General features: G+C 45.2%; 1 protein-coding gene across 25 annotated transcripts in view; it reads left to right on the plus strand.

The window, feature by feature from the left end:
• The window catches only part of MSH2 (mutS homolog 2), a 306764-nt gene that overhangs the window by 215853 nt on the left and 63704 nt on the right, over positions 1 to 27207 (plus strand). For 6 of the 25 annotated variants that reach the window (NR_176238.1, NR_176235.1, NR_176237.1 and 3 more), the window contains one exon: positions 13883 to 15582. The exons of 16 other annotated variants lie outside the window; for them this stretch is intronic. Coding sequence is in view for 1 of the 9 variants with exons in the window: in NM_001406646.1 (NP_001393575.1) it covers positions 13883 to 13887 (5 nt within the window). In the remaining 8 variants the exon portion in view is untranslated. Of the gene's footprint in view, positions 1 to 13882; positions 15583 to 27207 lie in introns of those variants that run through there. 3 more of the 25 variants (NR_176244.1, NR_176248.1, NR_176234.1) reach the window with 2 other exon arrangements.

Consider the following 27207-nt stretch of genomic DNA (forward strand, 5'->3'; position numbering starts at 1 on the left):
TTTCTCTCATCTTAGCCCAGGCACTGAAGAGAGAATGCTTGTCTCAAAATGAGTTCAGAGGCTTTTATGGATTCAGTTGTATCTCCCTCCAAAGAGGTATGTTGAAGTCCTAACCCCTGGTACCTCAGAATGTCACCTCACTTGGAAATAGCATTGTCATGGATATAATTAGTTAAGATGAAGTCACGTTGGAGGAAGGGTCCCTAATTTAATGTGAGTGGTATCTATTTTTTTTTTTTTTTTTGGCATGGTCTCACCGTGTCACCCAGGCTGGAGTGTAGTAGTGTGATCATAGCTCACTGCAGCCTTGAACTCCTGGGCTCAAGGGATCCTCCCATCTCAGCCTCCTGAGTAGCTGGGACTATTGTGACCTACCATGATGACTGGCTAATTTTAAAACAATATTTTTTAGAGATGGGGTCTTGCTATGTTGTCCAGGCTGGTCTCAAATTCCTGGCTCAAGCAGTCCTCCACCTTGGCCTCCCAAAGTACTGGGATTACAGATGTGAGCTACTGTGCCCAGCCTAATGTGACTGGTATTTTTAAAAGAAGAGGTCAGGCTGGGCATGATGGCTCATGGCTGTAATCCCAGAACTTTGGGAGGCCGAGGTGGGTGGATCACCTGAGGTCAGGAGTTTGAGACCAGCCTGGCCACCATGCCGAAACCCCATCTCTACTAAAAATACAAAAATTAACCGGGCATGGTGGTGCATGCCTGTAATCCCAACTACTCAGGAAGCTGAGGCAGGAGAATCGCTTGAACCTGGGGGGCGGAGGTTGCAGTGAGCCAAGATCGTGCCATTGCACTCCAGCCTGGGCAACAGAGCAAGACTCTGTCTCAAAAAATAAATAAATAAATAAATAAATAAATAAATAAAACAAAATAAAATAAAAGAAGAGGTCAGAGTCATGCAGGCTAAAGCCAGCCATTTGACAGTGGAGGCAGAGATGGCAGCAACACATCTCTCTGTAAGCCAAGGAATGCCAAAGGCACCAGAAGCCAGAGAGGCAAAGAAGGATTCTCCCCTACAGGTTTCTGAGGGAGCATGGCCCTGTCAACACCGTGACTTCAGATTTCTAGCCTCCAGAACTGGGAGATGATATATTTTTGTTGCTCTAAGCTACCCAGTTGTGGTGCTTTGTTACAGCAGCCCTAGAAAACTAATACAGAGTTGAAAGCAGCTTCACTCCGCAGCACCCATTTAAACAGGATTTATGTCGTCTGTGCACAGCCAGTTAATGGTCCAACACATCCTGGAGGTTCATCAGTCACTCCAGTCCTGAAAAGCCCTCGATGGAACCTAGTCACCATCAGGACAAGGAGGGTACCTGTGTGTCGAGCCCCACTAGGATCTTGGGCAGAGATCAGGCCTCTGGGGTCAGGGTGGTTAATAGACCTGGACCCTAATCCAGGCTTTCAATATGTGTTCTGCAAAGCCACATTAAGGGCCAACCCTGGGAAATCTATAAGATGCACTGTCTTACTCAAAGTTAATGTGCTTCAGATTAATGTCTCAGCAAAACAGCAGGTTATTATTAAAGGTCACAAACCTTTAAATAAAAGGTTCACAAACCTTCAGAGTTGACTAGAGAATATCTGACTCTATGAATGTTACATCTGTGAATGCTGAGGCTATGGCAATGAATGAGGTATCCTGATACATTCCAGCACATCTGCATCCTACCCTAAATGCCCTGGTTGGTCCTGGATGTGCAGACCTGTCCTCCTTTTCCATGCGTCATGCTTGGGGGCTCTGCTGCACAGCTCTCATGCACACCACCAACCCCATGAAAACTCAGCTCTCCCAAAACCACACCTGGCTAATCTGAGAAACAAATTCAGGTCCTCAGTAATAGTAACACGCCCCATTTGTTCACCTCCTATACCCTGCTCCAGGCAGCATTCCATTTTATCCTCACAATAACTCTGTGAAGTGGCCTGTTATCTCCTTCTTACAGATGAAAACACAGCAGCTCAGAGAGGTTGAGGAGTTGACCCAAGGTCACACAGCTGGTGATGGGCAGAGCTGGAACCAGCCCCAGTCCATGTGACTCCAAAGCTGCAGCTGTCTCCACTCTGTCCTGATGGGAGGGTCACTCTGCCCTCCTCCCAGGAGAGCTGCCTACTTCCCGACAGAGGCCTTTTACAAAATCATAATCCTTGAGAATTTTAGGCAATGTGACGTGCCATGGTTGGAAACCATTGGAGAGGCAAGTCCTTCTAGGGCAGTATTTATGCCTATGAATTCAGGAAAGTCTCAATGCTCAGTTCTGGGTCTATTTTTAGCTCCTCTCCATCTTGCCACTGGCCCAGGAGTGGCCTGAAACTCTGTTGGCCTCCTAGGGCAGCACTGCTGAGCAGATTGGGCTCCATCTATTGAAATGCTCATGGCATTTGAGATGAGGTGCTTTTCCCAATTAATTCTAACCTGTCAGTTTTGATTTTTTTCCTTTGAAGCCCAAATAACAACGTGTCACCTTTCTCGACAAAAAGCCAGCATTGGCGTTGACTTTTCTCTTTGGGCTAGACTCATGGAAGGTGCCAGAATCAGGGAACTGGAGCTTGTTTTTGTGTATATAGGGGAAAAAATCTTGGAGTTACATAGATCATGCAGGATCTATTCCATGGAAAGTAATGCAGCTATTACAATGCCAACGTATTTATTAACATGAAAAGGTGTTTATACTACATTGTGGAGTAACAAAAACTGTGTGTAGTATAATCCATTTTGTATTTCTTTTATCTACTTATCTGTTTTTTTTTTAATCCTAACTTTTCTCCCAAATTAAACATGTATATCAGCTCTTCAAGTGGGGGAAATTTTTTAAAAAAGAAAAGGAAAAGGAAAGAAAATACATACGTGTTTAAATTTATAAGTAAATTTAAATACTACAGCAAATTTACTGTTAAGTGTGGAGCTGTAACAGCAAACCCTGGCCCTGAATTTCAGTGGATACTGGTCTCTCAATCAGTTACAATAAACTTAACATTTGAATAAATTTCTGTGCGGACCCATATTCTATTTATTTAAACTTTTTTTTTTTTTTTCCCTGAGACAGTCTTGCTCTGTCGCCCAGGCTGGAGTGCAGTGGCTCGATCTTGGCTCACTGCAACCTCTGTCTCCCGGGTTCAAGAGGTTTTCCTGCCTCAGCCTCCCAAGTAGCTGGGATTACAGGCACCTGCCACCACACCCAGCTAATTTTCTGTATTTTTAATAGAGACGGAGTTTCGCCATGTTGGCCTGGCTGATCTCAAACTCCTGACCTTATCTGGAACTCTAATCTGCCCGCCTTAGCCTCCCAAAGTGCTGGGATTACAGACATGAGCCACTGCGCCAGGACTCATTTAAACATTTAAAAATTTTATTTTTATTGACATATAATAATTGTACATATTTATGGGGTACAATGTGATGTTCTAATACATGTATACATTGTGTAAAATTCAAATCAGGGTAATTAGCGTATCCTTCACTTCATACATTTATCATTTCTTTGTGGTACGAACATTTGAGATCCTTCTAGCTATTTTGAAATATACAATACAATATTGTTAACCATAGTCACCCTACTGTGCAATAGAACGCCAGAACTTATTTCTTCTATTTAATTAGTTGTTTAAATTTTTAAATTTTGAATTTTTGTGGGTATATAATATGTGTATATATTTATGGGGTACATAAGATATTTTGATACATACATGCAATGCATTATAATCATATCATGGGAAATGGGGTATCCATCAACTCAAGCATTTATGCTTTGTGTTACATACAATCCAATTATACTTTTAGTTATTTCTAAATGTACAATTAAATTGTTATCGACTATAGTCACACTGTTTTGCTGTCAATTACTAGGTCTTATTCATTCTAACTATTTTTTTCTGTACCCATTAATCATCCTGATCTATCCCCTATACCCGCACCACTAGCCTTCCCAGCCTCTAGTAACCATCCTTCCCTTCTCTATATCCATGAGTTCAATTGTTTTGATTTTTAGATCCCACAAATGAGTGACAACATGCAATGCTTTTTTTTTTCTGTACTTGGAGGGCTTATTTCACTTAACATAATGATCTCCAATTCCATGCATATTGTTGCAAATGACAGGATTAATTCTTTTTTTATGACTGAATAGTACTCCACTGTGTATATGTAGCATATTTTCTTCATCTATTCATCTGTTGATGGACACCAAGGGTGCTTCCAAATCTTGGCTATTGTGAACAGTGCAGCAACAAATATGGGAGTGCAGGTATCTCTTTGATATACTGATTTCCTTTTCATTGGGTATATACCCAGCAATGGGATTGCTGTATTGTATGGTAACTCTATTTTTAGTTTTTGGGAGAACGTCCAAACTGTTCTCCATAGTGGTCATACTAATTTACATTTCCACCAACAGTGCATGAGGGTTCCCTTTTCTCCACTTCCTCTCCAGCATGTATTACTGCCTGTCTTTTGGATGAAAGCTATTTTAACTGGTGTGAGATGATATCTCATTGTAGTTTTTTTGTTTTGTTTTGTTTTGAGACAGAGTCTTACTCTGTTGCCCAGGCTGGAGTGCAGTGGCACAATCTCAGCCCACTGCAACCTCCACCTCCTGGGTTCAATGATTCTCCTGCCTCAGCCTCCCAAGTAGCTGGGATTATAGGTGCCCACCACGCCCAGCTAATTTTTGTGTTTTTAGTAGAGACGGGGTTTCACCATGTTGGTCTTGAACTCCTGACCTCAAGTGATCTGTCAAGTGATCTGTCTGCCTCAGCCTCCCAAAGTGCTGGGTTTATAGGTGTGAGCCACTGCGTCCAGCCTCACTGTAGCTTTGATTTGCATTTCTCTGATGATCAGTGATGGGGAACACCTTTTCATATGCCTGTTTGCTATTGTATGTCTTCTTTTGAGAAATGTCTATTCAAATCTTTTGCCCATTTTTTTAGTTAGATTATTAGTTTTTTTTCCTATGAAGCTGTTTAAGCTCCTTATATACTCTGGTAATTAATACTTGTCAGATGAGTCGTTTGCAAATATTTTCCCCCATTGTGTGGGTTGTCTCTTCACTTTGTTGATTGTTTCCTTCACTATGCAGAAGCTTTTTAACTTGATGTGATCCCATTTGTCCATTTTTGATTTGGTTGCCTATGCTTGTGGGGTATTACTCAAGAAATTTTTGCCCAGACCAATGTCCTGGAGAGTTTCCCCAATGTTTTCTTGTAGTAGTTTTATAGTTTGAGGTCTTAAAGTCTTTAATTCATTTTGATTTAATTTTTGTATATGGCAAGAGGTTGGGGTTGAGTTTCAGTCTTCTGCATATAGATATTCAGTTTTCCCAGCACCATTTATTGAAGAGACTGTCTTTTCCCCAGTATATGTTCTTGGCACCTTTGTTGAAAATGAGTTCACTGTGGGTGTGTGGATTTGTTTCTGGGTTCTCTATTCTGTTTCATTGGTCTATATGTTTGTTTTTATGCCAGTACCATGCTGGTTAACAAAACTCTGTAGTATAGTTGAAAGTCAGGTAATGTGATTCCCCCGGATTTTTGGGTTTGTTTTTGTTTTTGTTTTTTGCTTAAGATAGCTTTGGCTATTCCGGGTCTTTTGTGTGGTTTTTTTTTTCTATTTCTGTGAAGAATGTCAGTATTTTGATAGGGATTGCATTGAATCTGTAGAGTGCTTTGGGTTGTATGGACATTTTAACAATATTGATTCTTTCAATTCACGAACATGAAATAGCTTTACTTTTTTTGGTGTTCTTTTCAATTTCTTTCATCAGTGTTTTATAGTTTTCATTGTAGAGATTTTTCATTTCTTTGGTTAATTCCTAGCTACTTAATTTTATTTGTGGCTACTTTAATGGAATTTTTTTTTTCATTTCTTTTTCAGATTGTTCGTTGTTGGCATATAGAAATGCTACTGATTTTTGTATGTTGATTTTGTATCCTGCAAATTTACTGAATTTGTTCACAAGTTTTAATAGTTTTTTGGCAGAGTCTTTAGGTTTTTCCAAATATAAGATCCTATCATCTGCACATAAAGATAGTTTGACTTCTTCCTTTCCAGCCTGGGTGCCCTTTATTTCTTCCTCTTGTCTGATTGCTCTAGCTAGGACTTCCAGTACTATGTTGAATAACAGTGGTGAAAGTGGGCATCCTTGTCATGTTCCAGATCTTAGAGGAAAGGCTTTCAGTTTTTCCCCATTCAGTATGTTATTAGCTGTGAGCCTGTCCCTTGTCTCTAATTGTAACTTTGTACTCACTGACCAACTTTTCCCTGCCCCTGCCTCCCTCATCCCCTCCCAAACTTCTAGTGGTCACTATTCTACTGTCTACTTCTATGAGATCAACTTCTTTAGATTCCAAATCTGAGTGAGATCATGTGATATGTGTCTTTCTGTGCATGGCTTATTTCACTTAATATAATGCCCTCTAGGTTCATCCTTGTTGCCATGAATGACAGGATTTCTTTCTTTTCTAAGGCTGAAGAATATTTCATTGTGTATATATATCACATTTTCTTCATCCATTTATCCATTGATGGACACTTAGGTTGGTTCCATATCTTGGCTATTGCGAGTAGAGCTGCAATGAACTTGGGAGCACAGATAACTCTTTGACACACTGACTTCCTTTCCTTTGGATATATACCCAGTAGTGGGATTGCTGGATCATATGGTAGTTCTATTTTTAATTTTTTGAGAAACCTCCATACCGTTTTCCATAATGGCTCTACTAATTAACGTTCCCACCAACAGCGTAGGAGGGTTCCCCTTTCTCCACATTTGTATCATTTGCTGTCTTGTTTTTTGATAGCAGCAATTTTAACAAGTGAGAGATAATACCTCACTGTGATTTTGATATGAATTTCCCCAATGATTAGTGATGTCCAGCAATTTTTCCTGTAACTTTTGGCCATCTGTATGTCTTCCTTTGAGAAATATCTATTCAAATCTTTTATCCTATTTCTAATTGGAATCTATTCAATTTTTACTTGATTTTCTCTTTAGAAAAACTTAAAACCCACAGAAAAATTGCAAGAATGGTGTACCATTACAATCAATACCCAAATTTCTTTCACCTAGTTGGATTGACTAGGATCATTTTGCCACATGTGCTGTCTCCATGTGGTTCTATATATGTCACCCCTCATCACCTAACACTGTGCTGAATAAATGAATGGCTGGAGTGGCAGAAAGGCCAGTCCTTAAAGGGCAAGGGGGGTCATACAGTGGGCACTATCTGAGGTCCAGTGGGTAGCTGGAGGAGAACCAGAAGCAGACAGACATCACAGGCAGAGAGCAGTGTAAGCAAAGGCTCAGAGGGTGGCCAGTGCAGAACTTCAAGGAGGATATAGATCTGGCCAACAGGATGTGAGAGGGAAGGTGGAGATGAGCCCGGAACTGGGGAGATTCCCAAAAGTCTCAGCTACAACCCAAAAGTGACAAAGTGTAAGGGGAGTGATATCATTTAGATCTGTGTCTCCACCAAATCTCATGTTGAGTTATAATCCCCAGTTGGAGGTGGGACCTTGTGGGAGGTGAATGGATCATGAGGGTAGAGTTCTGATAAAGGGGTTGGCACCATCCTCTTGGTGCTGTTCTTATAATAGTGAGTTCTTGTGAGAGCTGGTTGTTTAAAAGTGTGTGGCACCTCTCTGCCCCCCTCTCTTCCTCTCGCTCTGGCCATGTGAACTGCTGGCTTCCCCTTCCCCTTCTGCCATGATTGTATGTTTCCTGAGGCCTCCCCAGAATCCCAGCAGATGCTACCATGTTTCCTGTATAGCTTATGGAACTGTGAACCAATTAAACCTCTTTTCTTTGTAAATTACCCAGTTTCAGGTATTTCCTTATAGCAGTGCAAGAACAGACTAATAATACAGGGAGCCACTGAAAGGAGTAACGTGAGCAGTTTTGTGCATTTTATTTTATTTTATTTTATTTTATTTTATTTTATTTTATTATTTTATTTTATTTTATTTTTTTTATTTTATTTTGAGACAGAGTCTCGCTCTATTGCCCAGGCTGGAGTGCAGAGGCGTGATCTTGGCTTATTGCAACCTCCGCCTCTGGGGGTTCAAGCAATTCTCATGCTTCAGCCTTCCGAGCAGCTGGGATCACAGGCAAATGTAACCATGTCCAGCTAATTTTTGTGTAGAGATGGGGTCTCAGCATGTTGGCCAGGCTGGTCTTGAACTCCTGGCCTCAAGTGATCTGCCCACCTCGGCCTCCCAACGTGCTAGGATTACAGATGTGAGCCACCATGCCCAGCCAGTTGTGCGCATTTTAAAGATCTCTCTGCTACCATGATGAAGAGGGACTTTCAAGGTGCAGTTGGAGGGATGGAAGAGAAGACAAGTTATGGTCCAGGACAAAGACAAGGAGGCCTGAACAGGTGAGAGGGGCCAGAAGGATGTAGAATGAGTAGCTCTTGGAGTGACTGCCTGGGTGTGGTGAGGTGGGGAGGATTCAGGACAACTCCCAGGGTCTGGTCAGGAACACGTGACTAGAGGCCAGTGCTGTTTCTCCAGATGGGCAATACAGAGGAGAAGCCAGTGGTGAGGGAGTGGGGAGTGAAGGAGGCACTGACTTCAGTTTTTGATGCATGGAAGCTGAGTGGCCTATAAGACATTTAAATGGAACACCCAGCAGGCAGTTGAATCTGAATCTGGATCTCGGGGCCAAGACTGGTCTGGGGATGGAAATGTTGGAATCATAAGAGACTTATGGATAGGATGACCGCCATCCTGGATGGCAGGTGCAGCCCCTGTTCATGCCTATGTTCCAGCATATTTATTAATTGTTCCCTCTTTCACTTTTCCAGTTTGAGCAATATTTTGTTTTGTTTTGTAGAGATGGGGTCTCACTATGGTGCCCAGGCTAGTCTTGAACTCACGGCCACCTTAGCCTCCCAAAGTGGTAGGATTACAGGCATGAGCCACCGTGCCTTGCCAAGTTTGAACAATAATTAATACAGTCACCCTAAAAAGGGTAGATCAGTCACTCCCTGTATTCACCTAACACTTGCCACCCCTGGCCTGGCATGGTTCTGTGGGTGTTTCATGCTGTATGTGGTTAATCACTAGAGGTCTGTGGCCTCTGTTCTTGCGTATCTCCCACCGTTCTTCCCTTGCTATCTTTCAGGTAGATGGTGCCTAAGAAATATTTACCTGTCCCGTGGTTGAGAGATTCATAGGCCCCAACCTACTGAGGGGAGAGAAGGTGGGAGAAGCTCTATAAGTTATCTTACTGGAGGCTGGTGGATTAAGGGGCACCCTTGGACCAAGTCCCTACTACATATGGGATTTAGGAAATGTAGAGAGAAACAGGGAATCTAAAACATTCCCTGTTTTCATAACTGGCCCGTGCTGCTCCGCTTCCTTCACCCCTTGCGTGGGCTGTGACAGCTGGAGTGAGTTTGCAGGCCTCTCCCTTTCAGTGCCTCCTCAGAGGCAGTGTGGCTGCCTGGCTCTGAGTGAGACCTTTTGGAACCCACCCTGCTGACAAGAGCCACACCCTGACCGTCCTTGGACAAGCCCTGTCCACCTCCACCTTCTGCTGTTCCCCTCCATGTGGCCTTTGCTCCAGCCACATTCTGAACATATCCTGACCATGTTTGCCTTTGGGACCAGTAAAGCCCTTTTTCCGTACCCTCATTGCCCCTACTCCTATGTCTATTAAAATCTACCCACTTGGCTGGGCATGGTGGTGAGCCACCAGCGCATGGAGCACCTGTAATCCCAGCACTTTGGGAGGCTGAGGTGGGTGGATCACAAGGTCAGAAGATCGAGAACATCTTGGCCAACATGGTGAAACCCCATCTCTGCTAAAAATACAAAAATTAGCCAGGTGTGGTGGTGCATACCTGTAATCCCAGCTACTTGGGAGGCTGAGGCATGGAGAATCGCTTGAACTCGGGAGGCGGAGGTTGTAGTGAGCTGAGATTGCACCACTGCACTCCAGCCTGGGCAACAAGAGCAAGACTCCATCTTAAAAAAAAAAAAAAAAAATCTACCCACTCTTCAGAGCTGACTCAAACATGACCTGGTGCCTAGGAGACTGTCCTGGATTCTCCCTGCTGGAGGCAAGGCTCCCTTCATCCAGAACGCCACTGTGGTCCCCACTGCCTCCTTCATGGTTTCATCTGAGTTCTTGCCTTACTTACTGTTTGGAACTCAGGGTGGAGACGCTTTATTTTACATTTTTGCATTTCTCCATAATGCCAAACATGGGGGTAATTATGGTGTGTACAGACAACATGTGGAATGAACTGCCACATATTTTGTCTCCAGGTAAGAGGGCAGCATTAAGGGTTATGGAGCAGGAGGTAGCAGGGTGAAGGAATTTGCATTCATTCGTTCATTCATTCAGCAAATATTTATTGACAGCTTCTGTGTACTAGACACTATGTTCCATGGTACATTTAGAGAAATAAATCTTCAAGGACCTCATTATCTAAAGGAGAACAAAAAGGAGACATGTAAACAAAGAGTCACCAAACAATGCAATAAGCACCATAAAACAGCAAGGCCAAGTGCACAGATGGAGGAACCCATTCTGTCTCATGGAGTCTGGTAGCGTTTCACCAGAAAAGTAACATTTAAGCTGGGTCTTGAGGCATGCCTAGGAGGTCGCCAGGTATCAAGGAAAGGGTACTTTTTACTGTAGAGGGAACAATAAAAGCAAAAGCACTGAGCCCCAGAGAGGCTTGTGTAGTGGACTGGAAGGCATTCACTGGGGAAGAGGAGAAGACAATAAGCATGAGGGTAGGGGAGGCAAGGGAATGCCAGGAGATGAAGCAAGGGAGGGAGAAAGGAGCCTGACATTGCAGGCAGAGGGCAAGTTTTAAGGTGAGTGAAGTCCTGGTGACCACAGCAGCATTACAGGAATTACAGGCAAGTTTTCAGGTGAGTGAAGTCCTGGTGACCACAGTGGATTACAGGCATGAGCCACTGTGCCTTGCCAAGTTTGAACAATAATTAATACAGTCACCCTAAAAACGGTAGATCAGTCACTCCCTGTATTCACCTAACACTTACACAGAGTGGAAGAGAGATACGGTCCTGAGCACACAGCTGCTCCCCACCCGCATTTACCTGGGGCTTCCCTGAATTGTCAGTCATGACTGCCTTGCTTTGGATTGCAGCTCCCTGCAGGGAGCTGCCCACCTTACACCACTGAGTTGCTGGCAGCTGCCACAGAGGCCAGCCACCTCCTCACCGACTCTCCTGGACAAGCACTTCTGAGGACAGAGTCCTTGTCAGGGCTGGTTTCTTGGCTGAACCCTCCTTTGCCACCAACAGAGAGATGCCTGCACCCCTCAAGGGCAGGCAGATGGCTAGGCCTGCCCTCTCAGCTGGGCAGCACACTGGACTGGCCGTGCCCTTTCAAGTGTGCAGGAGTTGGCAGGAGCCTGCAAGCCAGTATCCACCCTCCCAGGTATCCACGCTTGGCAGCCTCACTTGTCTCCAGCCTGTGTTCTTGCAGATGAAACTAGCAGAAGGAAGGAGCTTGCTGCCAGTTGGCTCCCTAATTTTTTTTAAATCACAACTTTGATGTTTCCTAGTCTGCTGGGTGACACCAGTTGTCCTTGTTTATTACTGCTTAGTGCTCCCAAATGGTGTTGGTCAGCATGGAGTGCAGGGATTGTCTCCTTCTTCAGACCCTAGCACTTACCAGTCCCTGGTCCTTGCTGGCCTGCCTGGAGGCCTGTCTCGTTGTGAATGTTTACACAAATGGAAAATGTCAGTGTTTAATCTGTAAAGGGAGCCCAGATTGCAAAGCTCCAAAAAGAAACATCTAAAGGTGAGCATCCTTCCTCTAGGTGTGGGACATTACAATGTCACATCAACTCACATCTCCACATTCACTTAGCACCTCTGTGGGCAAGAGGATGGGGAAGGCTCCCTGAACTTCCAGAGCTTCCTAAAGAAAAAGACAAAGTTACAACTTGTAAAATCCCAGAGTCAGTGTCACAGTGCTGTGGCTAACTGAACTGTCAAGCAGATGCAACTTGCCCCAGGCATGGACAAAAAAGGTTTAGTGGGCTGGGCACAGTGGTTCACGCCTGTAATCCCAGCATTTTGAGAGGCCAAGGCGGGTGGATCACCTGAGGTCAGGAGTTGGAGACCAGCCTGGCCAACACGGTGAGACCCCCGTCTCTACTAAAAATACAAAAATTAGCCAGGCCTGGTGGTGCATGCCTATAATCCCAGATACTTGGGAGGCTAAAGCAGGGAGAATCGCTTGAACCTGGGAGGCAGAGATTGCAGTGAGCTGAGATCGCATCACTGCACTTCAGCCTGGGCGACAGAGTGAGACTCAGTCTTAAAAAAAAAAAAAAGTTCCCGATGAGTTAGGCTGGGAACTGGGGATGGATAGCGATGGGGAATGGATGGAGATGCTTCCAGGAGGAAAAGGACATGAGAGGTGGTGAGGAAATTTCATGCTAGAGTAATGATAGAACCAGAAGGCTGAGGGGAGAGCTCAGGAACATAGATGATGGGCAAGCCTGAGGGGGTGAGGAGACTTGAATACCTGTCCAGTGAGTTAAGCCCTTCTGTGCTCAGGAGAAGGGAGGCAGGCACACCCAGTCCTGGCTTTGCCACTAATCAGCCTGAGCCTTGGGCAAGATACTTCTCCCTCTGGGTCAGATGAGGGGGGTGGATCACAGCAAAGGTTCCCAACCAGGAGGACAGGGGTGCTTTACACATGCGCGCGTGCGCGCACACACACACACACACACACGCATGCATCTAGAGCTAGTTCTGGGGTATCTCTGGGGATGTTCCCTGGACATGTCTGGGTGTTTAAAGATGCTTGGTGCTTCTGGTGTGGATCACTGGCTGAAGTCATTTCTAAGATCCTGTTAGCTCTAAAATGACCATGTTTCTGAGGCACGAGTAGTTGGTGACATGGCCGGTGTGAAGAAATCACTGGCCAGCCCAGCACTGTCCTTTAAAACCAGAGGCTGTGGATTCACCTCATGTGTAGACAGTGCGACGGAATCACCGGGGTGATGCGGATAATTTCAGAACAAAGCTGGTGCTGGGGGCTGGGGGTGGAGAGAGCCTTTGGGCCTGAATGATCCAGATAATTGCAGTGCTGGTGATGCCCTCTCAGCATGCCCCAGGGTGGGTGGTGGGAGCCCATTAGTCATGGGGTGGGCTGAGGCGAGGTGGCTGAGGAACAGGGAATAAATAAAAGGAGTGAGCAGCCATGTCTCAAGCAGGCCTGCAAGGGCGGGGGTGGCTGCCAGTGTCCCAGGCAGGGTGGCTGAGACATGAGTCACACCCGGAGACGCTGACCTGGCAGCACCCAGCCTCTCTAGGAGAGGGAAGGAGGAGGCGGGCGCTGGGAGTTCTGAATGTCAGGATTGCCTCTTGCTGTATCCTTGGGCTTGAGATCTTTGTCATCCCTTATCACCACCCTTTGCAAAGCTACATGGTGGGGACACCTCTGTTCATAGCTCTTCTGCCACTCTTTATCCTTAGGCTATCAAAAGCTCTACTTCTACCTTAAGGGCCATAGCCACTCCGTTATCATTCTGGACCATAGTAACCAGAGCATTCTGACCTTTAGAGCTGCCCTATGTGACCATTCTCTGTTTTAGACAGCCGGCCTGGTGTGTGAATGGGAGGGAGGAATGAGCTTTGTTACTACCTTCTCAGCAACCTGCTTCTCCCCAAGGCCTCAGTTTGTTCTTGCTCCCCTTCAAGTGTAACCCATGGCCCATACAGGAGATCGTCTTCCCAGAGACGAAGGCTTTCCTAATGTTCAGAGAAGATCCAGACCCCCAACCCCTGGACAACATAGACAGCTCTTCAGGACGCCTGAAAAGCCAGCTATTGACAAATCTGCCTAACACTCTCGCAAACTCCATTTTCTACAGGGTGAGATGCAGACATCTTTCCATGACACCTGTGGATGCTCTACAATCTGGCCCAGGCTGACCATATCCTGCCTGGAGGGCCGGGTAAGTGGGGCACTCAGGCTTAGAACAGCCACATGCCTTCCCCTCCCTGTGGGACCCACTTCCAAGGGAGCCAGCCTGAGGCTTGCATCACTGTTTGGTCTCCTCCTACCCTTCCAGATCTTCCTGGTGCTGGAGTTAGTGCCCCCTTTTTTCTCAGCTGAGTCATGACCCTCACCCAGCCCAGCCCAGCCCCCTACCCTAGATCTGCTCCTACACCTGATTGATGCCCTGGCCTCAGGCAGGGCTGGAGCTTGGGGCTGGTGCCTCGGGCCTTCAGCCTTGCCCAGGGCAGCCTGGGCAGAAGCTGAGATTGGATGTCATTTGTCAACCTTGGCAGAGAAGTACTGAATGCGTCAAAATAATTGAAGGTTATTTGGTGCCTGTGGGAGGGATTTTTATTCCCAAGGATTCTGCTGGACCATTTGGGGCAGCCCTGTTTGGCTAGCTGAGGGTTCCTATGTTTTCCAACAATTGGATGTTTACAGTATCTGTGCTCTTGCTTTTTAAAAATGTCCTCATTTAGAATAGCTTCCTTTTTTTATATGTTTTCCTTTTTATCTTTTAAGTGGGAAATGGGAGGTGAGTATGAGGGGACAATTGTGAAGCTTGCCTGTGCTCCAAGTTAGGGACATGAGACCCCTTCACCCCTGGTTTTCCCCTGTAATCCTTCCAGAGCTATAGAGCTGAGCTTGTATTCAAGCCACAGACAGGGCCCTTGACCTTGAACCAGACAAGGCTGACAGCCCCGGAGCAGGAGCGCTGCTGTGAAATAACTCGGAGATATCCTCCCAGAGCAGTGAAGAGGCTGGAAGGAGTCAGGAAGCCTCAAATCCCCAGCCTCTGACTTACAAAGCACCCAGACCTCCCTCAGGACTAGACAGAGCAGCCATTTCACCCAGAGCTGCCTCCATTCCAGCACTGGGATGTGGTTGGTAATGTGAGATTCTCACTATCCAATGCCGCAATCAGAGCCATATGCGGCTATTTAAACCTCAATTTAAATGAATTAAAATTAAATAAAGTTTAAAAACCAGTTCCTCATCCACACTAGCCACATTTTAAGTGCTCATGAGCCACATGTGACTGGTGGCTGCCTCACTGGACAGCACAGGTTCAGAACACCTCCGTCATCACAGGGCTCTCTTGGCAGGATTTATGGGTCCCCTTTACGCTGAGCTGTCTACCCCTGTTGCCTAAATGCCTTTCCTACCTAACAGTAGCTGTTCAGTGGGTGCATTGGCCCTACAGACTCTCCCAAGCTTCTTTCTCCACCAGTAGAAGTAGCTATGTGGCCTTGTGAGGTCTCCCTTCTAGAAAGAACAGGTAGCATGCCTCTGACAACCACGTTGACCAGGTGACCTGCAAGCATCCCCAGGATCAACTAGCAACCTAAGATTTGCTGCCCAAACTAATGCTTCTCCCTGTCCAGTGGACACTTCTCAACTAGGCTGCCCTTCTGTGTCACTGCTGCTACTTAGTCACTCGTTGACTTTGGAAGAAGAGGCCCTTCAGAGGCTCCAATGACCAAGAACATTCCCTTCCCTACTCCTCAGTGTCACGCCCCGCCTCCTCCCAAGCATCACCATCACCAAAAATAAAACTGCCTTGGTATCCTTGCTGTAGTCCATGAAGCTTCTGTATTAGAATTACTTGGAAGGAAGAGGCTTGTTTAAAATGCAGATTTTGGCTGGGCGCGGTGGCTCACACCTGTAATCCCAGCACTTTGGGAGGCGGAGGCAGGTGGATCACCTGAGGTCAGGAGTCTGAGACTGCTCTACTAAAAATACAAAAATTAGCCGGGTGTGGTGGCGTGAGCCTGTAGCCCCAGCTACTCAGGAGGCTGAGACAGGAGAATTGCTTGAACCTGGGAGGCAGAGGTTTCAGTGAGCCGAGATCGCACCACTGCACTCCAGCCTGGGGGACAGAGAGAGACTCTGTCTCAAAAAAAAAAAAAAAAAAAAAAAAAAAAAAAAGGCCAATTTCTTCTCCCCACAGCAAGCCAATGGAATCAGAATCTCTGGGAGGTGGAGTCTACTGAATTTGAGACCCACTGCAAATGAGGAAGCCACACAGGAAGCACCTTGGGAGTCCTTGGAAACTAGAAATCAACCCCCTTTGCATTCTAAGGTCTCTGGTTTATTGCAGACCAGCTCTCCCCAGGGCTGAGAGCCAGATACTGGGAGCTTGTGGTAGTGGTGATGTGACAGAAATGTTCCCCATGGCCTCCTGTTGTCCTCCTGCCCACCCCCCACCTGCACACACACAGGTGCATACACATATCCACATGCACACACTACTCTCTCAGGAGGTCTGCTGGGAAACCAATACACTTTCAGAAAAGCCTGTTCCAACCCTGGCTTCGTGGGGCATGGTGAGCTCCTGGCCTTCTCTCACAGGCTCTTACTGGGGAGGAAAGATTTCTCTCCCTCACCCATCACTAGGTTTATGGCTGAGGCACCCATAGTAAAAGACAGATTAACAAGAAAAAAGCATACACATTTATTTAATATCTAGGTTTGACATGACATGGGAGCCTTCAGAAATGAAGACCCAAAGAAACAGGAAAACCTGTGTGTTTTTATGCTTAGGTTTGATAAAGAGTGGACAGTCGTGCAGATGTGGACAAAGGGGGTAATACACTAATTTATTACTATTCCAATGATAATAAACTGGCGGGAACTTAGCAGGGCCTGTTCAGAATATTCTCTGTGTCCCTGTGTCCTCAGAGATAAGAACATTCTTTTCTTGTGGGTATAGGGTGGGCACCTCATGTAAGGGTCTTATCACCTACTTCAGAGCAAGATCAAGGAATTCTTTTATGGCCTGCTTTAGGAGAAGCACGGAAGAGGGTCAGAGAGGCTTTTTGTTTCTGCTGCTTCCTCCAATGCCAAAGTGCCATATTTGGGATAGTCTGTTCTGAACCCCATCATCCTGCTGCATGAACCCCCCATGACCTGAGTCTCCTGCCTCAGAGAGACCTTTCTTTACTCTAAATCGGTGTTTTGAAATCTTTTTTAACCCTTGCCCCACTTTGGTGAACACAAAAGTCTGTCTCTGGGATTTTAATATGCCACTTTCTTCTCTCTTCATATCCTCCCCAAATATCCTGCAGTTTGTGTTACAGAAATAAGGTTTTCTCCTTATTTTCCAAATATAAAATTATATGCACACAATACTTGAAAGAGTATAAAGGTAGAGTATATTGCTAGAAAGAAAGTCATACTGCTAGACTCTAGCATGAGCCTGCATCAGAATCACCTCCAGGGCTTCTTAAAATACAGATTGCTGGGCCCTACCTCTGGAGTTTCTCATTCAGGGGGTCTGGGATGCCTGGGGGAACCACACTTTGAGAATCACTGCTCTAGAATGATGATACACACTCCCTAGGGCCAGAAGAAAGGCCAAGCCTTTAATACAACAGACACCAGATCATCTCATGGGGCTCCCGTCTCTCTCTGTGCTCCCTCCCTCTTCAGCGTGGGAGCATCTACCTGGGTCTCAGTAACACTGAGGGCCTCTCCTGGGTGAATCTCTGCATTGTTATGTAGACCAAGTCTCTATCTTGGCAAATACTTCACCCACTTCAGGGAGAAAGGAAAGAAAGAGGTGAGAAATGAAGAACCCTTTCTTGCCAGAGTGATATTGAGCACGTTTTCAAACTCCACATCCGGAAGGCTTAGGATATGTACATGGGGTGTGTGTGTGCGTGTGTGTGTGTGTGTGTGTGTGTATGTGAATGTGCACATGAGACACACATATATGTTTTTTGTTCCTGCGATTTCTGGGCACCATGTGCAGTAACCAAAGCAGAATATTCATCCTGTGAATCTGAACAGCATTAATGAAGAATGTAGGTCTCCTATTCCAGCCGGGACTCAGAGCGGAACAATGGCATAGCGTGCATATTTATTTAGGCCTTGGCATCTCAGCAATGAAAAAGTTCATGGAATAAATGAGCAAAAGATGGAGAACTTTTCTGCTCTGTGTTTATAGGTTTCAGCTGTTCCCAAACCATCCATCTTGAGCTCTCACCGTAAAGCAGGCAAACAGCCCTTTGACGCGCACATCTTGAAAGTTTTACACTATTTATTTTTTCCTCTGGGAAACAATCTAGGTCTCTGCCACTGAGGCTGTCAGGCAGTAACAGAGTGCCTGAGCTCATTCAATTGTTTATGAGGCTTTCTCTGAAATCCTTCGCCCTTTCCTACGGATGGGAAAAGCAATGAAAAATCTCTTAGCAACAACCGAGCAGGGCTCATCTGTCCTCCCTGTCCTGATGCTGCCTCCTGTTTAGTATTTATCACTAAACAGGGATAGTGATAAATGGCTCAGCTGGTCCCTTTCTACCTGGGGCTGGAGCATTACACTCAGTTCAAGAAAGGAACTTTAAGAGGAGAATGACCCATATGGTGAAGAGCTTTAAATTATGCCTTACAAGGAAAGACAGAGGGAACTTGGAAGGTGTAATCTAGAGGTGGACACTACCCCTTGTCATCAAATATCCAAAGAGCTGTTAGGTAGAAGCACCTTGAACTTGCTTCCTGTGGCTCTTAAGGGAAGTCCTATGATGTTCAGGGTTTGCCAGGGTTCCCTCCTCTACCAGGCATTAACGTTAGCGGAGACTCTTTTCTCTTCTTCTTCTCTCTCTAGGCAATCTCATTTCTTCTCATGGCTTTAAATATCATCTTTAGGCTGATGACTCTCAAGTGTATATGCCTAGCCCAGATCACTTTTCTAAAATGAGAGCTTGGATATTCAGCTGCCTACTCACGTCTCCACTTGCTGTCTCTCTGACATCTCCAACTTCATATGTGTAAAAGTGAACCCTTGATCTGGACCCCCTAACCCAAATCTTATCCTCCCACCATTTTCCCCATCTCAGTAAATGGCACCAGCCTCCACCCAGTTGTCAAGTCAGGAATCTGGGTGTCATTCCTGGCATTTCCTTCTCATTCACACCTCACATCCAATCCATCACCAAGTTCTGTTTATTCCACCTCCAAAATATTCATTGAGCTCCTCTATTCCTCTCCACCTTCATATCCACCACCCTCATTGAAGCTGCCATCATCTCTCATGGGGACTATTACAAATGCCCTCTAACTACTCTTCTTGCTTCCATGTTACCTGCCATCCTCCCATCCAACAGCCAGAGAGACACCTGAAAACTCAACATCTGACCATGTCATTCCCCTGCTTAAAACCCTTCAATGGGCTGGGCACGGTGGCTCATATCTGTAATCCAGCACTTAGGAAGGCTGAGATGGGAGGATCATTTGAGTCTAGGAGCTCAAGACCAGCCTGGGCAACATAGTGAGACTTCGTCTCTACAAAAAATGTAAAAACAAAAATTCATTCAATGGTGTCTGTTGCAGTTAGATAAAGTCCAGGCTCCTTCTGAGATGCACAGGGTCCTGCATAATCTCTCTTCCCTCATCTGGTACCACCCTCCCCACTGCTCTACACGGGAGCCACACTGGCCTTTTCAGCTCTTCAAATGTACCGAGCTCCTTCCTGACACCTCTGCCTTGATTTGCCGTCCCCCAGCGCCCCCTCCCCTCAGTCTTTTAGTTCTCATCTCACATGCCATCTTTCCAAAGAAGCCATCAATTTTAGTTATCTTTTGCTGCAAAACAAACCATCCCAAAACTTAGTGGTTAAAAACAACAACCATCTTATTTCTTGTAATTCTGTGAGTTGCCTGGGGCTTAGCGGGATGGTTCTTCTGCTGATCTTGCCTGTCAGGTGTTCACAGTGAGATGGCACCTGGGGCAGAAACATTCAAGATGGCTTCACTCACATGTCTGCCATCATGGCAGGAACATCTCACCTGGTACACTGGGATGGCTGGGCCTCTCTGTGTCACCACAGGGCTCACTCTCCCAGTGGATTCTTCATATGATCTCTCCCAACAAGATGACCACACTGATTTGGGGCTGGAATTATCCCATTAAAAACTTTGTTAGAATAGAGAGCTGTGGATATTGGATATGTATACTTGTTAGTGTGAATAAATGGTTCCCAGGAGTGAATGGTGTAGTATACTGGAAAAGAACAAGGCTTTGGAGTCCAAAGTTCAAATCCCATCTCTACCATGTATGATTCTTGCTTATTCATTAAGGCTACTTTGGTTACTAACAATAGAAATGGATTCTGGCGAACTTAAGCCAAAAAGGGTGAATTTATTAGAATGTATTAGAGTTCTTCAGAAAAACAGAATCCGTAGGATGGATATATATATATATATATATATATATATATATACAGAGAGAGAGAGAGAGAGAGAGAGAGAAAGAAAGAGAGAGATTTACCAGGAGGGATTGGCACACACAATTATGAAGGCTGAGAAATCTCACAATCTGCCATCTGTAAGCTGGAGGCCCAGGAACAGCAGTGGTGCAATTCCAGTCCAAACCCCAAAGCTGGAGAACTAGGGAGTGGGAGGGGGGAGGTGAAGGGGATGGGTAGGATATAAGATCTGGTCTGAGTCAGAAAGTCCAAGAACCAGGAGCACAGATATCCAAGAGCGGGAAAACCTGGATGTCTCGGCTCAGACAGCAAGAAAATATACACTTCCCCTGCTTTTTTATTCCATTCAGGCCCTCAGCAGATTTGATTGTGCCCACCTGCACTGGCAAGGACGATCTTCCTTAGTCAGTCTACCAATTCAAATGCTAATCTCTTCTGGAAACACTCTCACAGACACACCCAGAAATAATGTTTTACCAGCTATATCATAGACCAGTCAAGTTAACACATAAAACTAACTATTACAGATCACATGGAAGGGTTGACAACCATGACTCAGCAGTAGGAGCCTTTTTTCCAGAGTGTTGCTACTAACCTTTCTCAACCTTAATGATTTCTGTGTCTCTCTCTCATTCTTTAAAGTCTTTTTTTTTTTTTTTTTTTTTTTTGAGACAGAGATTCGCTCTTGTTGCCGAGGCTGAAGTGCAATGGAACAATCTCGGCTCACCACAACCTTCACCTCCTGGGTTCAAGCAATTCTCCTGCCTCAGCCTCCTGAGTAGCTGGGATTACAGGTGCCTGCCACCACGCCCGGCTAATTTTGTATTTTTAGTAGAGACGGGGTTTCACCATGTTGGTCAGGCTGGTCTCGAACTCCTGACCTCAGGTGATCCACCCGCTTCAGCCTCCCAAAGTGCTGGGATTACAGGCGTTGAGCCACTGTGCCTGGCCTCTAATTTTAAGTCTTACATTTTCATCTGTCTCAAGACTGTTTGACCCAGCTTGGTTCAAGTATCAAATTCCTTGGTCGGGCCAGGCACAGTGGCTCACACCTGTAATCCCAGCACTTTGGGAGGCCAAAGCGGGTGGATCACCTGAGGTCAGGAGTTCGAGACCAGCCTGGCCAACATGGTGAAACCCCATCTCTAATAAAAATACAAAAATTAGTCGGGCATGGTGGCGGGTGCCTGTAATCCCAACTACTTGGGGGGCTGAGGCAGGAGAATCACTTGAACCTGAAAGGTGGAGGTTGCAGTGAGCTGAGATTTTGCTACTGCACTCCAGCCTGAGCAACAAGAACAAAACTCTGCCTCAAAAAAAAAAAAAAAAAAATTCCTTCATTGGCCAACCAGCTAAGGCTACAGGGTACAGTTACATGGTACAGGGCAGGCTGCCAGGGGCGCCGGAGGATGGGGTACACAGCCAGGAAAGGGAAATCAGCGTGAGGCAGGTGGGGAACCCAAGATGGGTCAACTACACTAGGTCAAGTTACTGGTAAGCCTCAGTTTTCTTACATATAAGGTAGGATAATCTACTTCTTAAAGTTATTGTAAGGATTAATCAAAATAATGTCAAAAAGTGCCTAACACATAGTAAACACTAAGTTTATGGTTAAGTGTTGTTATTTTTAAAAAACAGTGTATTTTATTTATTTTATATTTTTTAAAGAGATGGGGTTCTTGCTGTGTTGCCCAGGCTGGTCTCAAACTCCTGGACTCAAGCGATCCTCCCACCTCAGCTTCCCAAAGTGCTGGGAAAAATAATTTTAATACTGGTGAAGAACTGAATGAACTAGTAATAGCTTCAAAACATCATCATAATCTTAAAGAAAGGTTCTGGGCTCACCTTATACTTGTCTTGATCCAGCCCTGGAATCAGCCATTTCTCCAAGGAGCTCTCATTCCTTTTATGAAAAATGGTATTCAAAAACCAAGACCTGGTCCCTAGATGTGCTCACTGCTATTAGGGTGTCACTGTTTCCAGGTGTTCTTAGGGGACAGAGCTGGGGAACACACATGTGCACACACACATTTATAATGTATAATGTATAATTATACATTATAACACATAATTATTATGTATAATGTGTGCACACACACATTATTTGGCATTGATGGGCGTTCATTTCCCTCCAGCAGAGTAAGACAGAGAAGATGCAGCCTGAGTGGTTTCCCTTCTTTAAAAAAAAAAAATCTGTTGGTGAAAGCTGCTTTCTTGTGTAGCTTTAATTTGCATTTCTCTTACTGTGAGTGAGTTCGAGCATCTTTTCAGAGACTTAAAGCTGGTTGTATTTCTCTTTCCTTGAGTGGTTGGTGCACAATCTTTACCCATGTTTTTATTGGCTTATTGTTCTTTTATTCTTGTTATTATCGTGATCATTGTTGATTTAGAACCTCTAAATGTGATGGCACTTAGCCCTATATGAGTCATAAATATTTTTCCCAATTGGTCACTTATCTATTGACTTTTTTGAAGATAGTTTGCCATGCAGATAGTCTTTGTTATATAATCACATGTACCACTGTTTTATAGCTTTCTAGGTTGTTTTACACCAACAAAAGATTACTAAAATTCATTTCCTTATGGTTTCTTCTAGTATGTGCTTTTAAATTTTGTTTATTTATACATTTAGATACTGGACACATTTGAAACGTATACTAATCCAACTTCATTTTTTTCGCAGAGGGCAACCCCATATATTGAATAATTTCTCTTTCCTTCCTGGTTTGAAATGCTGCCTTTCGTGCACGTTACATTCCTATAACTTCTGCATTTGGGCCTATTTCTGGGATTTCTGTTCTGGTCCATGGATCTCTCACTTTATCTCCCCTATGTCTCTGGCCACTCCTTCTCAGCCTCCTTTTCTGGCCCCTCCTGCCTTCCCCTCCCCTCCTCTTTGTCGCAGCGTCCCCTCCTGTTCTATCAAGACACATTTTCCTTCTCTGTCCCACGCTGATTTCATCGGCTTCAGGGCTTCCATATCAGCTTGGGCTGAAACTAATGTGGCATTTGTATCTCTAGCCTGGCACCCTCTCCTGAACTACAGACTCATGGAGCCAGTGTCCTCTCAGGGGCTCCACTTGGAAGCTTAATCTGCATTTTGAAAATAGCACTTCCTAACCCAAACTCCTGCTGCTCCCCAGAACCTGCTGCCACCACAACATTCTCGGGAAACAGTAGCTCCGTTCTCTCTATAGCTCGAGTCAGAACTCCATGTCTTTGATGACTCCTCTCTCTCTCTCTTTTTTTTTTTTTTGAGACGGAGTTTCACTCTTGTCACCCAGGCTGGAGGGCAATGGCGTAGTCTCGGCTCACTGCAACCTCCACTTCCCAGGTTCAAGCAGTTCTCCTGCCTCAGCCTCCCGAGTAGCTGGGATTACAGGCACCTGCCACCATGCCTGGCTAATTTTTGTATTTTTAGTACAGACGGGGTTTCGCCACGTTGGCCAGGCTGGTCTAGAACTCCTGACCTCAGGTGATCAGCCAGTCTTAGGCTTCCAAAATGTTGGGATTACAGGCGTGAGCCACTGCACCCAGCCGACTCCTCTCTTCTTTGCGACATCCACGCCTATTAAGTCCTGTCAGCTCCATTCTCAAATAGACCCAGAGTTGAACCAGCTCCCCGTCCCATCATCTGTCTCTCCCCGGGCTATGGAAATAGCTCCTAATCCATCTTTCCATGGCATCCCTGGTTTCACCCCCTGACCCCAGGTCCACTCTCCTCTCATCAGCCAGAGCGATGCTCTTAAAATGTAAGTCTGATCATGTCCTCTTCTGTGCAAAACCTGTAGTGGTTCCCAAAGTCCCACAGAAGCCCCAAAAGCCTACCTGACATGGTCCCCAGCTAACTCTTGGATCTTTATCCTCTTCCATGAATCCACTCTTGCTGGGCACTCCGGTCTTCCTTCTGTTCCTTGAACACACAGCAGGACTCCTGTCTCTACCAATGCATCTTCTTTGAATAACTGTATATAAACCTATCGACTTAAACTTCTATAAGACTTACATAAGCTTTAGACTTATGTAGACATAGAAGTTGATCATATATGATACTTGGACATACATTTAAACATGTAAGAAAAATGAAGCTGGACACGGTGACTCACACCTGTAATCCCAGCTGTAATCTACTGAAAATAGAAAAATTAGCCCGGCTGGTGGTGCGCACCTGCAATCCCAGCTGAGGTTGAGGCATGAGGACCGCTTGAGTGTGGGAGGTGGAGGTTACAACGAGCTGAGATTGCACCACTGCACTCCAGCCTGGGTGACAGAGCAAGGCTCTGCTAAAAACAAAAAACAAAAACCTAAAAAGATAAGCAAAATTGAAATTGACGGTAGTCCTAAAATTTCCTCATATTCAGAGCTTATCTCTTCTGAATCTTATTTTGATTCTGACCATTGATGTTCTTGTTTTTCCAAACAACATTGTTCTCTGTGCCTTCAAGAGTGCTCGTTTGATGGTACAGCATTTTTTAAAAGAGTGCCCTACTATTGCCTCCAGGCCTTCTTCCAAGCTTCCAACAATCTTGGCTAGTGCTGTGTATATGGACAGGTGAGGACAACTGCGTCATGACTGTCACCTCGATGACAGGGATGTAAGACACACCTCGATTTCAGAGATGTGTAATTGTAAAAACAACAACAACAACAACAAACAGGAAACAGAATCAGTGAATTATGGTACTCTCTGGTTGGGCTAATTCCCTCTACTTACTCTTCTTTTCCACAATTTTTTCTAGTTATTTTTGCTTATTTTTCCTTTATGAGTAAAGTCAGGGAATGTTATTTGTATAAATAGATGACAAAAAATGGCAAATAAATAAACAATAATAGAAGGCAGAATCAGACCTAATTACTTGGTTAATTATTTCACGTACCAATTCTAAGTGCCTTTTGCCTCAGAGTGGAATTAACAGATACCAGGTAGTCCCCCTACCCTCATCCCATGCTCTTGGCCAATATTGCTAATTCATCAAGGTCCTATTTTTCACTGATACCAGTGGAGGCCTTAGACTCTTTCTCAGCGCAGCATTCCAAGTGGCCATTACCAGTTGATTAGAGTTGGTAAATGGAATTAAATTCTCCAAAGCCAACAGTCACCCAAGGCATGTGGATATGAAAAGTAGAGAAGTCTAAATCTGTTATCAGTTCTTCAACAATGCAGGATGCATCACTACCCTTCCTTTGGGACAAATCATATCCCTGTATCAACTGAAGGACATTAAAGGACTTCCCCATCACCACATATACACAGCTAGACCAACTGAGTTCAGAGCCCTGGACTACCCATAAGTCGAGTCATGCAAGACTCCTCTTTAGCAAAGCAGAAAGGCCAGCTATTTTTAGTTCTACAGTGTTCTCTTTTCCCAGCCTGAAGTGTTCAGCACCTCCGCTTAGGCTCCGATTCACATTGAAGAGTAAATGACTGCTAGCCCAATCAGACCCTCCCAGGAGCCCAACACCTTTTCATAAGCAGTGCTTCTGAATCATCTGGGCATCTTGTTGCAATGCAGACTGTGGTTGGGTAAGCCCGGAGTTGGGCTTGGTAATGCTGGTTCAAAGACCAGAGAAGCAAGGTGCTAAGTATATTTGTCAGCTCATAACAAAATACCACAGTCTGGTGGCTTAAGCAACAGAAATTTACTTCTCACAGTTATGGAGGCTAGAAGTCCAAGACCAAGGTGCCAACAAGGTAGTATTTATTATGATGAGGCCTCTCCTCTTCGCTTGTAGGCAGCCACCATCATGTTGTGCTCTCATATAGCCTCTTTCTTGTGCAAGTGAGGAGACAGAGTGAACTCTGGTCTCATAAGGACACGAATCCTATCAGATCACAGCCCCATCTTTAGAACCTCATTTAACCTTAATTACTTCCTTAGAGGCCCTATCTCCAATTACAGTCACCCTGGGGGTTAGGGCTTCAACATATGTATCCCAGTGGGAGGACACAGTCAGTCCATAACTAAGGAACAGAACACTGGGGAGAAAAATCCTACTTTGTTGGGACACTGGAAAATGCGAGTATTCTCTGGACACCTACACCAGCCTCTCCTCAACACCTGAAGCAACCAACCTGGAGGATTCATCAGTGACTAAGGCCAGCAATGTTGTGTTGCTGGCAGGAAAGATCCATTGTCTAATTATGAATCTCAGCATCCTAGAATTATGGGGAGAAGCCAGTTCTCAATTCGTTTTAACAGAGCTTCTCTCTGTAGCAGTTCCAGCCAAATAAGCCAACTCTGCAGGTTCCAGGCAAAGAAGGGTTTGTTATGGGCTATATTTAGTGCCCAGGTGGCAGGTGGGTATCTGCCATGCTGAGCCCAGCACTACATGCTCACCACTGCAGCATGTCAGGATGACTCCCAAGGGCTTTTGTGGCAACATGGAAGTTCCCATGGCCAGGTGCCTCCCCCTCTACCCTGGATGGCTTTGGAAAACCTGCCTCAGGTGTCACTGTGCCTTTTTATGGGCACCATGCACTGGACCTACTGGCTTTGTAAAGGCCTGCAGAAATGCTCTGGTTTGAATGTGTCTCCCAAAAGTCATATGTTGGAAACTTAATCCCCAATGGAGCAGTGTTGAGAGATAAGGCCTAAGGGGGATGTGTTTAGGTCACGAGGGTTTCTCATGAATGGATTAATGTTGATTATAAAAAGGGCTTGAGCTGGGTGAGGTAGCTCATGCCTGTAATCCCAGCACTTTGGGAGGCTGAGGCGGGCAGATCACTTGAGATCAGGAGTTCGAGACCAGCCTGGCCAACATGGTGAAACTCTATCTCTACTAAAAATACAAAAATTAGCCAGGCTGGTGGCAGACGCCTGTAATCCCAGCTGCTCAGGAGGCTGAGGCAGGAGAATTGCTTGAACCTGGGAGGCAGAGGTTGCAGTGAGCCAAGAACACGCCATTGCATTCCAGCCTGAGCGACAGAGCGAGACTCCATCTCAAAAAATAATAATAAAAAAATAAAAAATAAAAATAAATAGGCCGGGCAC

Source organism: Homo sapiens, chromosome 2 (assembly GCF_000001405.40).
Source record: "Homo sapiens chromosome 2, GRCh38.p14 Primary Assembly".
In the NCBI taxonomy this organism is placed as follows: Eukaryota; Metazoa; Chordata; class Mammalia; order Primates; family Hominidae; genus Homo; species Homo sapiens.